The sequence below is a fragment of the Homo sapiens genome, chromosome 9, assembly GCF_000001405.40.
Source record: "Homo sapiens chromosome 9, GRCh38.p14 Primary Assembly".
NCBI lineage: Eukaryota > Metazoa > Chordata > Mammalia > Primates > Hominidae > Homo > Homo sapiens.
The window spans coordinates 82,552,713-82,566,523 of NC_000009.12; the positions used below are offsets into that span (position 1 = coordinate 82,552,713).

Here is a 13,811-nt window from a genome sequence, read left to right on the forward strand (position 1 = left end):
AATAATCTACTTGTACTCCTATCCTTGCCTCAGGGTCCTCTTCTTATGGATCCTAGACTAAGACAGTTAACGGCTATCCTAGAGGGATACACTTTGAAGAAGAAAAATCTCTGAGAACAAACTTCAGAGGCAGCATTCTACTGCAACATCCAAATCAGATTAAAATTATAAAGGGCTATTGTTCTAATGCTGGCAATAAACTAAAATTACCAGGAAAAGGCTATGAACCCAGCCTCAGCACATTTTGCCTGATTTGTAGAAGCCATCACCTCATCAGGAAAACACCTGTTATTCACTCACCTTTATTAACTCGATGCCAAGTATCATTAGTACAGCTATGCTATGATAATGCTCTATTCATTCTATCAGCAAATGCCCTAAATGTCTATCACTGGAGTACAGCCTCTGTTTCAATAAAATACCATAACTAAATATGAAAAAGGGAGGCCATGCATCCCTGGTACTCGCCCTGACCCAGTACTTTCCAATAATAAATTGGGCTTGATTACATCAGGGCTGGGGATCCCAGATGATTATTTTTAATGAACTTTCAAACTGACACTTGTCTGTTAATAATTTAGTTAAAATCCCAATGTTTGCTTGCTGCTGTTCCTCTCGAGAGACCCCTCTGCAAATTCTGGGTAGGAACTACTTCACCCATCTACCTAATACCACCCTCACCATTTTCCAAGCTTTGCTAAGCCCTGGTTCCTTATTTCCATGAAATCCTCCAAACCTTGATGGAGATACGGTTTCATTTCTCATCCTTGTAAAAATAAGTCTTTCAGAGCACCTTTATCTCCTCAACATGTTTGGTGATTCCTTTGTCTTGAATTTCAGTAGCAGAAGTTCAAGTTATTACTTTTGTACGTGTGCAGCAAATAGAAATTGTTGGTGCTAATGGGAGCTTATGTTCAATTCAAGTATAAAAGTTGTTCAAGTATCAAACAAAACTGTTGGTTTATGAGTGTTAGTAACTTCTCTGAATATTCAAAATGATGTCCCATCAGTGCTATCTAATTTGGGCATTCACATGATCATTATTTTAATATAACACCAGCCTCTTTCATCTCAGTAATAGATAGCGCCAGACTGTGGCAGTATCAGCAAACCTGAGGGCTGCCAACAGCTCTTGAGTCACTGGGGAATGCTAGTGAAGTTCACTTTAAAGAAAATGATCCTCACTTTTCCATGCATTCACAGGCTTCCTTTTGATTTTCGTGTTGAGCCTATTGACTTCAAAGTATCCTTTCAGGATCACTCAGAAGGCCAGAGACTCATCCGTGTTCTGATTCCTTGACTTTGCTCCATGCTCAGCATTTGTTTGAAATCTGCGGGGTGCCTGGCTAGAAGAATCTCAATAGGTGGCAAGGAGAGACAAGTGTCTGGTCTCAAACCTTCTTTCTGGAATGATTACAAAACCAAGTCGAGACAGGGGAACTGGGTATCATCTTGCCAATGAGTCATCTTCCGAAAATGAGTAATCAGATGCAGCATGGCAGGAGAATGGCTACAAAGGAAGGCCCGTTGTATAGGGTGCTTACACCTCCCTCCACTGCCTGTGCAAGCTTCACCATTTTGAAATCTCAGAAAATTGGACCTACACTATAATTTGAAGGAAAATAATCTTCCGATTCACAAATTATTAAATTACGTGGGTATAAATGAGAAGTCAATATCGATGAAGACAGCTATCTTTAGTCTCATATTCCTAATTGCAGCTCAGGATTTTCCCTATGGAATGAATGGATGAATAAAAGAAACCCCTCCCAGAAGAGCCCTAAGGATTCTAAAAAGATGCACAGAGTTGCATAGAGATTCCTCTATCTGGCTCATTCTGAAGCCAGCATTGTTCTAATAATGGGAACCAGATGGCTTATCAACGTAAAATTCAGCCCAGTATGTAACTTCATGTAACCATAGTCCTGCTGTCTGTCCCCTTTCTTTGGTCCATATGGTTGACTCTAAAATATACTTGACCATGATACAAAAACATAGAAGGATCACGTGGGTGGCCACAGTGATGAAATATTCCAGGCTTTGCATCCCACCCATGACAAAGGACTTGCCGGCCAGTCATTTGCCTCTAATTCAGCTTTGTAATTATTTTCACTTAACTATTAAACACATTCTGAACAATTTTTACATCATTTGCAGTCTAGACTATGCTTAGATGAAATAAGATCAAATGGCTGAAACATACAGAAATTCAGACAAAGCAGGAATTTATCATTCTCTGGGATTAAGCTACTTGGTTGTTTCATGAAACTGAACAGTCCATTTTTTTAAATTAGTTTCTATTTTCACAAACTGATTTTATCACTTGAACCCAGCCGGGTGCACCAATGTTTGCCAAGATGAAAGCTTTTTCACAATGCTAATGTCCTCAGACCACATATTTGAATTCTTCATGCTGTCACACTTTCATAGGATTTTTGAAATAAGTAAGGTAAAAAAATAAGAATTCACAGGCATCTCCCCCAAAGCTTTCTGGGACCCCATGAAAGCAACTTGCCACTATTTGTAGATCACTCCTCAGAGTATGCTGGGAGCCAGCTGTTGATGTGCAGTTTTTCCAGAGACTGAAGATATGGGCCACATCATATTAATCTGGGCAATGACTCTTTTGAGCAAGTCCCAGATAAAGTTAGTGATTTGCAAAAGCTTTTATCAGTTGCTTGATGGCTTTTGCAGAGTGGAACACTACATGACCCATGTGATTTGTTTTCATTTACAAAGGTGCAGAGGCTTTGAATTTAAAAATGGAACGTTTTCTTCTCGTGCCAAACGTAAACAATTTAACATCCATTTCCTATCCAGCTATTTTACCAGTTCAAAAGAGTTTATACGAATCTTATCTGTATTGTATTTCCTGCTGATTGGCAGTGCCTCCTGCTTCAGCTGGGAAGCCAAAAATGTGCTGGCTCGGATTTGAACAGGAAAGGCCTAACAAAGAAAACTGGGAAATAAATGTAATGAGTGGTTACGGGGTGCTGAAAACTATACTTATCATTTCTTATTCTCGTGGAGTTGGTGCTGCCATATTGATTTATGCCTGGGAAGTCTTTTATGGAAACACACAACAAAAGCTTCAGATTATTTTGTCAACAAGAAAACACAGTTTACCATTTGTCTTCAAAGTCCCCATTTAGTCCTGATTTGAGTGGTTCCATATTCCTTGCTGCTGAGACTCCCTGAGCCCTGGAGGAGGTTTGCATTGGATACAGTAAATCTCCATAAAAGATAAAGGCCTCCAGAATGCCACAGAGCTTGTTTTCAAGGCCAGTTAAATAATTTGATAGGGACCATGAGGAGTCCAGAGAACAGAAAGTATGTGGCTATTTCAGGCCAACTTAGACTCAGTTTACTGGGCCCCTGAGACCAATTTTTTTCCTTCCAGAATGGAAAGACATTTATTGGGCCTATTGTTTGAAGGTCTTCAGTCTCTTTCTCACATTCAAAGCTTGGATGATTGGAAAGGAGAGAAGGAAAAGAACAAAAACAGCCGTCTAGACATCTCCTAGTGGAATATTACATTTATAAACCATTTTCCTTGCCTTGTCTTAACAATACATTATGAACTGAGATAAAAAGATCATAAACTTGTGTTCTATTGTAAAGAGGTCCGGCAAGAGTTATGGTTTTCTTGAAAAAATCAACTATTAATTGTTACTTTGAGGTCACACGACCCAACAATTTCTATGAAAGGCCTTCAGCTGCCATTTCCAGTAATGTTCTCATTTGCCCTCAGCTTCCCCACCCCTACCCTACACTCCACCCCAATTTCCACTCCAATCTCAATACTCAATTTAATTGGGCTTACCAAGTATATGGGGAGTGCATTATTTTTTCGATACATACCCTGAGGTTCCTGTCAGTCAACCTCATGTCTGCCACTATCATCTAATTGTTGGATCCTTGTATTAAACATAAGACACAGTTTAAGGTAACTTTAGCACTGACTAAGGAGGAGCAGTGTGTGGACATGCTTTCTGAGGCTCTCTAGGCAAGATATGGTTGTAGTAAAAACAACACTACAGGCATCGCAGCTTCCAGTCCTTGGGTAAGCCACGTAACCTCTCTGAGCCTCCATTTACTCATCAATAAAACAAGAGCATGGAGCCTGATAACCAAAAAGTCACTGATTCTTGATTTTTTTTTTTAAGTTTTTAAGCAGATCATTGTGTTTCCCAGAAGCTGAATACTTCCTTGAAAGGTTACTTCCAGGCATTAGATGCCCTTGCTATGAAGAGCACAAAGTGTTCTACTGCAATACACATATCCTGATCTTCATATAAATACCTTCCATTTGTTCAATGCTGTTGGTTTACCAAGTGTTGACCCACCGGCTAACTTCTCACCAGCACACCAGTGCTGTGGGTAACAGTGTCAGCTGCTGTCTGTGGCATAGTGACACTCTGAAGAGCAAATGGGATGGTGCATATGATCGGAAAATATATGGTAAACTAAAACTCACCATTCAGAAACTGTAATTGACATTTCACAGAACTTTCCCACCCTCCTGTTCTTTTTTGCATGCCTTTTTTTTTTCCTCCTTACAAGGAAATATACTGATTTCCTGTCCCTGTATTTACATATGCTTTCCACTTGAAAGGTCATCAATTATTTGGACAATGATAACAAGATATTTCATTAAAAAATAATCTCCAAATATTGGGCAACTCCAGAGATGGAATACTCTCATTAAAGTTTATTTGATGATATGCAGTTAAAACTGAAGGAAGAAGCATACAATTTGTTAGCCTCACAAAACCCAGCCTCAGAGCACCAGAGTTGAGACTATTTTTAAGGAAGCTACAAGTTCATTTAAATGATACACCCAATTTGTACATTTTGCTTCTTACCAATGCACTAGTCCTAGAGTAGTAATGTCTGGCTCAAACTAAATGATGTTTGTTTTGTATATAAAAAAAAAAAATATGTTAAAGCATTGAATAGGTGGATGAACAAATTGCCTTCCCATTAATATACATTGCACTAATAGCTGACTAATGGGTGGTAGTTATTGTGTAGCCTACTTCACCAAGGATGGAGAAGTATTATCAGTGGGTCTTGTACGCTTTCTTTTACCTGTTTGTTTTCCACCCCAAGGGAAAAATATTAGGCTTATTAGGTACCCGCACTATTTAGGCTTCTTTGAAATTTGAAACTATACAGAGTTCTACTCTAACATACCAGCCCTTCAGATAGGTGGTCCTGATGTTTCATTCTTAATCTACTGGAGAGACTGGTAGGGCCATCTATTAGGTTAATTTATGCCGGGGCACTAGGAGGACCTGTGCCCCAACATAAATGAAGAGCTAATTACTCTTGGATTTCTTGGATATATGTGAGGATATATGTTTTCTTGGATATATGTGAGGGGGTGGGGCCTACATAATCTCCAGTTTCCCTCATGACATTAATATCTTATGGTTCTATGAAAGCAGCACCTCTGCTCACAGAGTTGTGTTTGTTCACATACAATAAATAAAAATGAAAGTGTTGATAAATAGTTATCTCTAGTGGGATTGCTGGTGATTTTTAACTTATCTAAACTTTCCTTTATCAGAACTTTTTTACAATTAACATAAATGATTTTATAATTAAATGAAACAAAATAAAATCCTTTTCACTTTGAGGAAAAAAATACATAATTCTAGGAGGAAAAAGGCATCAACAACAACAAAATATTAATTTCTGGCTCTTCGCTCAGAGCCATGTCTTTCAGACTTTAACCCTCAATTGATGGGTCCCACCCTGGAGATTCTGATTCAATAACTCAGGATGGGGCCTGAGAATTTCCATGTTTCACAAGCCTAAGGATGACACTTTGAGGAACTTGGCTGTAACAGTGAACCATCATGTGGATATGTTTTTTGGCTTATATTTATGACTGAGTCAGTTCTGCCTCAAATTATTTTTTTGTCTGTGACTATCACAGTGAGAAGGGAAAATTCCTGCATCCATATCCACTTAACTTAAGAATCTCACCATCACACTTAATGTGTTGTTTCTAATTCCCTCACATAGAAGCATCTGGAGCTAAAGAATTGTCCTAAGGCTCAGTTCCACTGGAAAAGTGTGTTTCTACCCCAGATGAGACTTAAACCCAGAATGTTTAGTTCAGCATCCCAGAGTTTAATCCATTTGGGCCTTAGGACCCCAGGACCCTCCAAAACCATGCATTGAGAAAACACAGACAGCTATCTAAAGTCAGGGCAAATCAATGGGGCAGTGGCTTGGAACGAGTTTCCTGTTGGAGCTCTGGCACTAGCACGTGCTCTCAGTAACAAAATCACAGGTCATCCCTAGGCAACGGATTAGCTGGTCAGTGAACTGAACTTTGTTTCATCACCGAGTTTTATCTGAAATGTCAAGGAAGAAAAAGTCACAGAGAAAGAAGGAGGCAGGGCAGGGAGAGAGAGAGAAAAATGGTTTCTAAGAGCTCTCAATATTAACTTACTAAGGGGTGCATCCTATGTAAATTATCTACTTTCTAATTTAAAAAAATAACTTGACTGAAAATAAGCACTGGGTTAATTACAATTTTGCTGCTTTGACCACATCACTGAGGTCTAAATGACAGAAAAAAAGTAAAGTGGATCTTCTAACCACAGAATGCCTTCCATTTGCAAGTCTTCGCCACAGAAGCAGCCATAATGCTAATATTTATGGGAGCTTACTGGGTGCCTTCTGTTCCCTGAGTTAGTCATCCCCACGTGATTACTTTAAACAGGAAAGCCCAAAGCACCAATCTTTGAATGGTTTCAGGGTCAGTGTCACTTTGGCAACATTGTTCTTTGGTATTTTGCTCTAGATTTAGAGCTAAAGAACCTTTCTTACGTATCTCACGTGTGTGTGCATTCATTACCTCCTGCGAATGCTTATGTGTGATATATAAGGAAGTGTATGCAAGTACATGTGCCTGAAGTAGGGGTAAATACTGCACTTGATTTATTTAGGGGGTCAATTCCCTTCCTTCTTCCTTTCAGTGGTTCTCTTCTCCACCTTATTTCAGAAGGGGAAAAGGAGGGATGAAGAAAGAGAAAGGACGAGGAAAAGAAAATGAAGAAGAATGAAAAGAGGGGGGAGAGGAGAGAAAATGGTGTGTACGAGCAAATAAGGGAGCAGGATTTAGAAAGGAAGAAATGGAGGAGGGGCTTTGGGAATCCCAGCTTTCCTCTGCCTTATCTGTTCTTTCTTCTCTTTCCTGCAATTCTGCAATTCCCAGGCTGCCAGACCCGTCCCCCAGGCCTCTCCCATCCATTTCCCAACCTGTGCATGCTGAAGTCTCATACCTCTGGGTATGACCCCCAGCATTCCAGCTAACATCAGAAATTCTAAAAAACTTTTTGTTCCCATCATTAAGATAGAACCAAGAGGCTACTTAAAGAAAACACAAAAGGCTATAAGGAATTTCCGACACTCCAATTCTTTACAACCACACATGATGAGTGCACAGCTCCTTTCCTCCCTCCTAAGCTGCAGAGACCTATTTAAATATATGCAGAAGAATGCCAGCAGCCCTCCTTAAACTGAGGGCAAAACTGCCCATTACATGGCACCCCATTATGCATTCCATTCTTTGCAGGGTTTTATTTTGAGGATGTACATTGCTGGGTAAAGAGGGGCCTTTAGGGTAGAGTATATTTCAAAACACAATTAAAATAAACTCTTCAAGTGGAAATGTAAAATGCATTTGTATTCTATTAAAGCCTTTGGCTTATCAACTGCAGAGTGCTCCTTTACAAGGTCATTAGTAACCAGCATCACACAGTGGCCAACAGGCATCAGCTGCACAAAAACAGACAGGGGCCCAAACACCACAATCACTTCCTGTACCTGTTCTTGTTTGCTTGCTGAGCCCTCGAAATTGGGAGTTGCTGAAATACATAAAAGCGTAACAGCTTGAGTCAATATTTGCCGGCCTAAGCGAGTGATTTTGTTTAGTGAGGTGACTGAACCCCTTGAATAAATACATCTCCTTGTATGTAGGAGAACAACCCCAGGCAGGCCCTTCGAGGAGGGCTAAGGGCAGAACTAGAACTGCCCTTGGGGTGGAACTTGGGGTGGGGGGCAGCGGCGCTGAGTCTTCCAAGGATCTTGCTCTGGTTCTTTCCCTGCAATTCTCTGCATCTAGCTGCACTCTCCTGCTTCTAGACGAAAGGTTCGCATCATCATCACCTGGGAGGCTTGATCAAAAGCTGATGGCTGGGCACAGAGCTCTGATTCAGGAAGTAGGGGGTGGGCCTAAGAATCTGCATTTTTACAAGTTCCTAGGTAATGCTGATGCTGTGGGTTTGGGGAACACACTTTGAGAACCACTGGTCTAGACCAGCTCTGTCCAATACAAACTTAATGTGAGCCACATGTGACTTGAAATTTTCTAGTAGCCATGAAAAAAGCAAAAGGAGGCCGGGTGCAGTGGCTCATGCCTGTAATCCCAGCACTTTGGGAGGCCGAGGTGGGCAGATCACGAGGTCAGGAGATCGAGACCATCCTGGCTAACACGGTGAAACCCCATCTCTACTAAAAATACAAAAAAATTAGCCGGGCATGGTGGCAAGCGCCTGTAGTCCCAGCTACTCGGAAAGCTGAGGCAGGAGAATGGCGGGAAGCTGAGGCAGGAGAATGGCATGAACCTGGGAGGTGGAGCTTGCAATGAGCTGAGATCACACCACTGCACTCCAGCCTGGGCGACTGAGCGAGACTGTCTTAAAAAAAAAAAAAAAAGCAAAAGGAAGCTAATGAATTTAAGTTTAACAACCTATCCAACATAATTTTATAATGAAATCAATATGAAAATTGAGATATTTCACATTTTTTTTCTTTTCTTTTTGGTACTAAGTCTTCAAATTCCAGTGTATATTTTACACTAACAGCACATCTCAGTTCAGATCAGCTGCATTTCAAGAGCTCAATAACTGTCTGCCTAGTGGCTACTGGATTGCATGGTGTAGTTCTTTCTAGATCATTCTCTGAGCATTCCAGGAGCTAGAAATTCTCAGCCCTAAAAACATAGGCCTGCTTCCAGGGCCTGGGCATCCCACAGGATATACCAGGCTGTGGGAGTGAGTGCACATCCCCAGGCTCAAGGGTTGCCCTGATGGTGGTTGACAGTTGAGAGGGTGAGGGGTTTGGGAATGAACTTGGACAAAAGGGCTGGGGTGTCCATAGGCATGAAGACATGGGCCCTTGAGGTGTAGAATAGAGTCTGGGTGGGGAGAAAAATGGGGCAACCTGAGCTGTGTGTGTGTATATATATAGAGAGAGAGAGACAGAGAGAAAGAGAGAGAGAGAGAGAGGGAGAAGTGAGAGCAAGAGAAAGAGAGAGAGAAGGAGAAGTGAGAGCCAGATAGGTGAGGTGCTTCCATTTATTCCATTCCAGGCTCAGCTACAGAAAAATCCATTCCCCCTAACACACCCTTAATGGATTTTGCAGAAAGTTCCCCTTATTGCTGCATTCACCACGTCTCACCTGTCTTCAGGGCACTTAGCTTTTGGGTTTGGAGCTATCCCAGGGCACTGCTCATAAAAGGAGACACCTCACTTTGCTGCAGGCCTCTCCTTCCAGGCTTTTTTCTTTCTTTTACGAGTGGCTTGGAGTCTGACTTGAAGGAGCGATCATAAAGAGAATGATTGCTTTTACGCTGGCTGCAATGAGAAAAGGATTCTGTGAGGAGGGAGTTATACATGGAAATCAATACCAGCATTGGAAAGCATCCCCTTTTGCCTATATAAGTGCTACCCACAGGGTCAATAGCTGGAATTAACCTGGACCCTTTCATTATTATTGTTATTTTTAATAAAGCTGCTTTACGATAGACTCTGATATGAGCTCCCAGGCTGCAGCTGCACCGATGTAAAGGGAGTGAAAAAATAGTTTTATATAAAAGTTATCTTTTGTCCCAGTGGGTACCACTCCCCAGTCCCACCTCCCTCCCCGTCTCAGTCTCTATAGACTCAGAGGGGGAGAGTGAAATTCAGCTTTTTATAAACATAAGCAGAGACCAACATAAAAAAGAATGTGCTCATTGCTCTGATTTTATACATTGTGTAATTTGTAATGCACAATAATAGAAATTAGTTTTTGTAGGTATGGCTGTATTAAATGCTGACTACATGCCGGACCCTATCTTTGGTACTGTACTGACCTCATTTAATTCTTTCGACAATCCTTTATGATGAATCAATGGACATCCAGGATGGACAAATGTGTCAGGGAAGGTAATAAGTAGTTGAGAGGCTATGTGCTACCAGGCTTTTTGACTCCCAGACCTATGCTGTTTGCTGGATCAGAAAAATTGACTTGATGGGTTCTTCTTCTTTGTTAAAACAGGTGTTGAAAGCCTCAGGTGTCTGCCCATGTACCTTATTTGGGCAAACTTCTGCCATTCCTTCTGTTAAGCTCTACAAAGATGAAGCAGTAAAAAATTATTTTCACCATAAACCTAGATTCAGTCTTTGAATCCTCTGATTTTCTCACACCTCACGACCATTCTTCAGGAAATCCTGTTAGGTCTACCTTTAAAATACATCCAGACTCTGACAACTTATGCCACCCCCACTGGTTGTCACTTCCCCTTTTGTCCCTGTATGGACTGCACTTCATACAGAAGCCAGAGTGAAACATTATTAAGTTAGGGCATAACCAGTTCCATATTCAAAATCTTCCAGTGGTTTCCCATCTCATTCAGAGTAAAAGCCAAATTCTTTGCAGAGTGCTCTAAGGCCCTACGTGTTCTTCCCTGAACAGACACACACACACACACACACACACACAAACATACACACATGCACACACAAACGCATACACATACACACTCAACACACATGCTCACACACATGCACACAACACGGACACATACATGCTCAACACACATACACACACTACACACATGCACATGTACACACATACACTTATACACACTCAACACATATGCATGCACACATACACCACACATTGTCTATACTCATGCATACATATACATATGTACATATACACACTCAAAAGATATATACACTCAGCACATACACTCAACACATAGACCCACACTCAACACACACTCAACAGACATGTACACACATGCATACACACCGATGGTTTGCATTTGTGTTCCCACCCAAATCTCATGTGGAAATGTAATCCCCAGTGTTGGAGGATGGGCCTGGTGTGTGGTGATTGGATCATGGGGATGGTTTCTAATGGGTTAGCACCATCCTCCCAGTGCTGTGTTGTGATAGAGTTCTCCCATGATCTGCTTGTTTTAAAAGTGTATAACACTCCTCTCCTCACTCTCTTCTTCCTGCCAGCCATGTAAAACATGCTTGCTTCCCCTTCACCTACTGCCATGATTGTCAGTTTCCTGAGATCTTCCTCCCAGAAGCTTTTACTCTGTACAGAAGCCTGTACAGCCTGCAGAACCGTGAGCTAACTAAACCTCTTTTCATTATAAATTACCCAGTCTCGGGTATGTCTTTATAGCAATGTGAGAATGGACTAATACACACACACTCCTATTTTATCTTCTCTAACTTTCCCCCTTCCCCACATGTCTCCAGCCACATTGTCTCATTATAGCTCTTCAAACTCACCAAACACCCTCCTGCCTCTGAGCCTTTGCACTAGCTATTCCCTCTGCCTGGAACACTTTTCACTCATTTAATAAAATGGTTCATTCTCTCACTTCCATCTGATGTATATCCAAATGTTTTCTTATCAGACAGAATTCTGCCCTGACTAACTTACAAAAAATATCAACCCCTCATTTCTTATCATCCTCACTGTGCTGCTTTTCTTTCTGGCACTTTCTACTACTCAACATGTTAAATATTTATTTGTTTGTTTGCTGTCTCACCTGCACCCCACCCTCCTCATCAAATTTAGGCTTCAAAAAGGCTTGTTTGGTCTGCTGCCAAAACAGTTACTGGAACAGGTAGTGTCAGCAATAACACTTGTGGAGTGGATGAATGGTAACTCTTTGAATGCTATCAGAATCAAGAAGAGAGGCAATAAAATACGTCTTAGGACAATGATTGGGTGCCCAGATGTAGAGAGCCTCCCCACTGGGAGCCAGTCCTAACAGAATCCCTCAAATGCCAACCCAGGAGGAGTTTCAGCACCACCTCTGAGCTAGGGGTCAACACTTATTCAGTCTAATGCCACTTATAAGTGTCTTTGTCCATGACATTTGTGACATTGAATAAAGTGAGAGCACTGCAGTTCACCATGTTGTTTCCCATGATCCTCTGCGCTCTTCAGAACTCTGAGGAGGACAGGCTGGCATCAGTGTGGGACATTGGGTGGTCATTCAGCAGGGTGGTTCTAAAGCCTCCATTCCTTCTTGGCTATGCTGTCGCATCTGTCTGAATCCTTTAGGGAAAATGATATAAAGAACAACTGGCAACTTGTAGACTTCACTAAATCTTTGTGCCAGGTGATTCCCTCAAGATAACTTTCTAGACATTAAGCTAGGTGGGCTCGTGGGTTGAGCATTGAAGCATAAAGCAGAGTTGGAGAAAGCTGGTCTGCTGCTCAGGGGATAACCTGATCAGGGCTCAACATATAATTCAGGTCCTTCACCTCTTCTATCTGATATGAATGCAGCAGTCCTAGGGATGATAATTTGGGAGAGCCTCAACCCCTCAGAACAGAACAGCGTGCTGACCAATTTAAATTGACCCTTGCCAGCTGGCAACTAGACCACATGCTTACTTGCACACACACAAACCCAGGCAGTGTGGCAATTCCCATCTGTCTTTTCACTCTTTTCTGGCTTTGAGATCTTGCCATAATGGCTGGGATGTCTTTGTTAGGTCAAAGAACCAGTAATTTTAAATCTCCATATCATCATGTTTGGTTCAGGTACCGTCTCACTATAGGTATGTGTGCCTCATGAGCCAGAAACAGCAGCCTGCATCAAGAAAGACTGGGAAGAAGGCTCCAGCCTCCCAGCGATATTTTAGAGTGTCTTCAGTTGCCTTCGCAGGAGAATAGTTCACAGGGGTAATATATTCTAGGAGTCTGCTGGAATGCTCAACTGACAAGAGCCCTATTGAGATGCTGCTCATTCCCCTGGGAGCTTTTCTGTTTACATGTGCCTTTGCTCATCTTTCAGCTAAATTGGAAAGCTGAATGGAAACTTCAGTGTTGAGAGCACAAAATGGATTTTGATGCTTAAAAGGACTTTTATACATAAAAGCCCAGAGTTAACACACCTCACGTGTAGGCTATTCTAAAACTCCAGAATTTGGGAGTTGGTTAGAACTGTAGGAATTCCTTTCTCTGAAGTCCAGTATGGTAACTGCTAGCCATGTGTGTCTATTTACATTAAAATTTACAATAATTTAAATCAAGTAAAATTTTAAAATTCCATTTCTTTGTCGTACTAGCTAGTCACAAGCCACATGTGGCTAGTGACTGTTCTATTGGACAGCACAAATACAGAACACTTCCAGCATCTCTAAAAGCTCCATTGAACAGCACTGGCTGACTGGAGAGACTGCTCCCCTCATTTTGTAGAAAAGAAAACAGAAGCTTATAAAGGTCAAGGTCAAGTGTCTTGCCCTCTTGTCTTAGAGATAGTATCTTGGCTGCAATTAGAAAAGACACAGGTTGTCTTCCTTTGTCCTTTCATACTACCAGTCCATCTCTCATCTCTGATGATAGTATCAAATGTTATTCTAACAATATCCAGCACAGGCACAAATGAAGGAAAGCAAGCTGGTGGCACAGTTAACCAAGATGAGTTTAAACATGAGTGGTTGCAAAATTAAATGGAGTCAGAAAATCCTATCTTCTCCATGAA

At 41.4% G+C, this 13,811-nt stretch overlaps 2 long non-coding RNA genes across 3 annotated transcripts in view; one reads left to right on the forward strand and one right to left on the reverse strand.

Moving 5' to 3' along the window:
* LOC107987087 (uncharacterized) overlaps positions 1-13,811 on the forward strand; it is a 288,244-nt gene that overhangs the window by 60,761 nt on the left and 213,672 nt on the right. The window lies entirely within an intron of this gene.
* The window catches only part of LOC105376110 (uncharacterized), a 72,772-nt gene that overhangs the window by 23,757 nt on the left and 35,204 nt on the right, over positions 1-13,811 (reverse strand). For both annotated transcript variants that reach the window (XR_001746780.2, XR_001746779.2), the window contains exons 2-3: positions 10,158-10,413; positions 9,482-9,657 (exon numbers count right to left, since the gene is read on the reverse strand). This is a non-coding gene — a long non-coding RNA (uncharacterized LOC105376110). The remainder of the gene's footprint in view (positions 1-9,481; positions 9,658-10,157; positions 10,414-13,811) is intronic.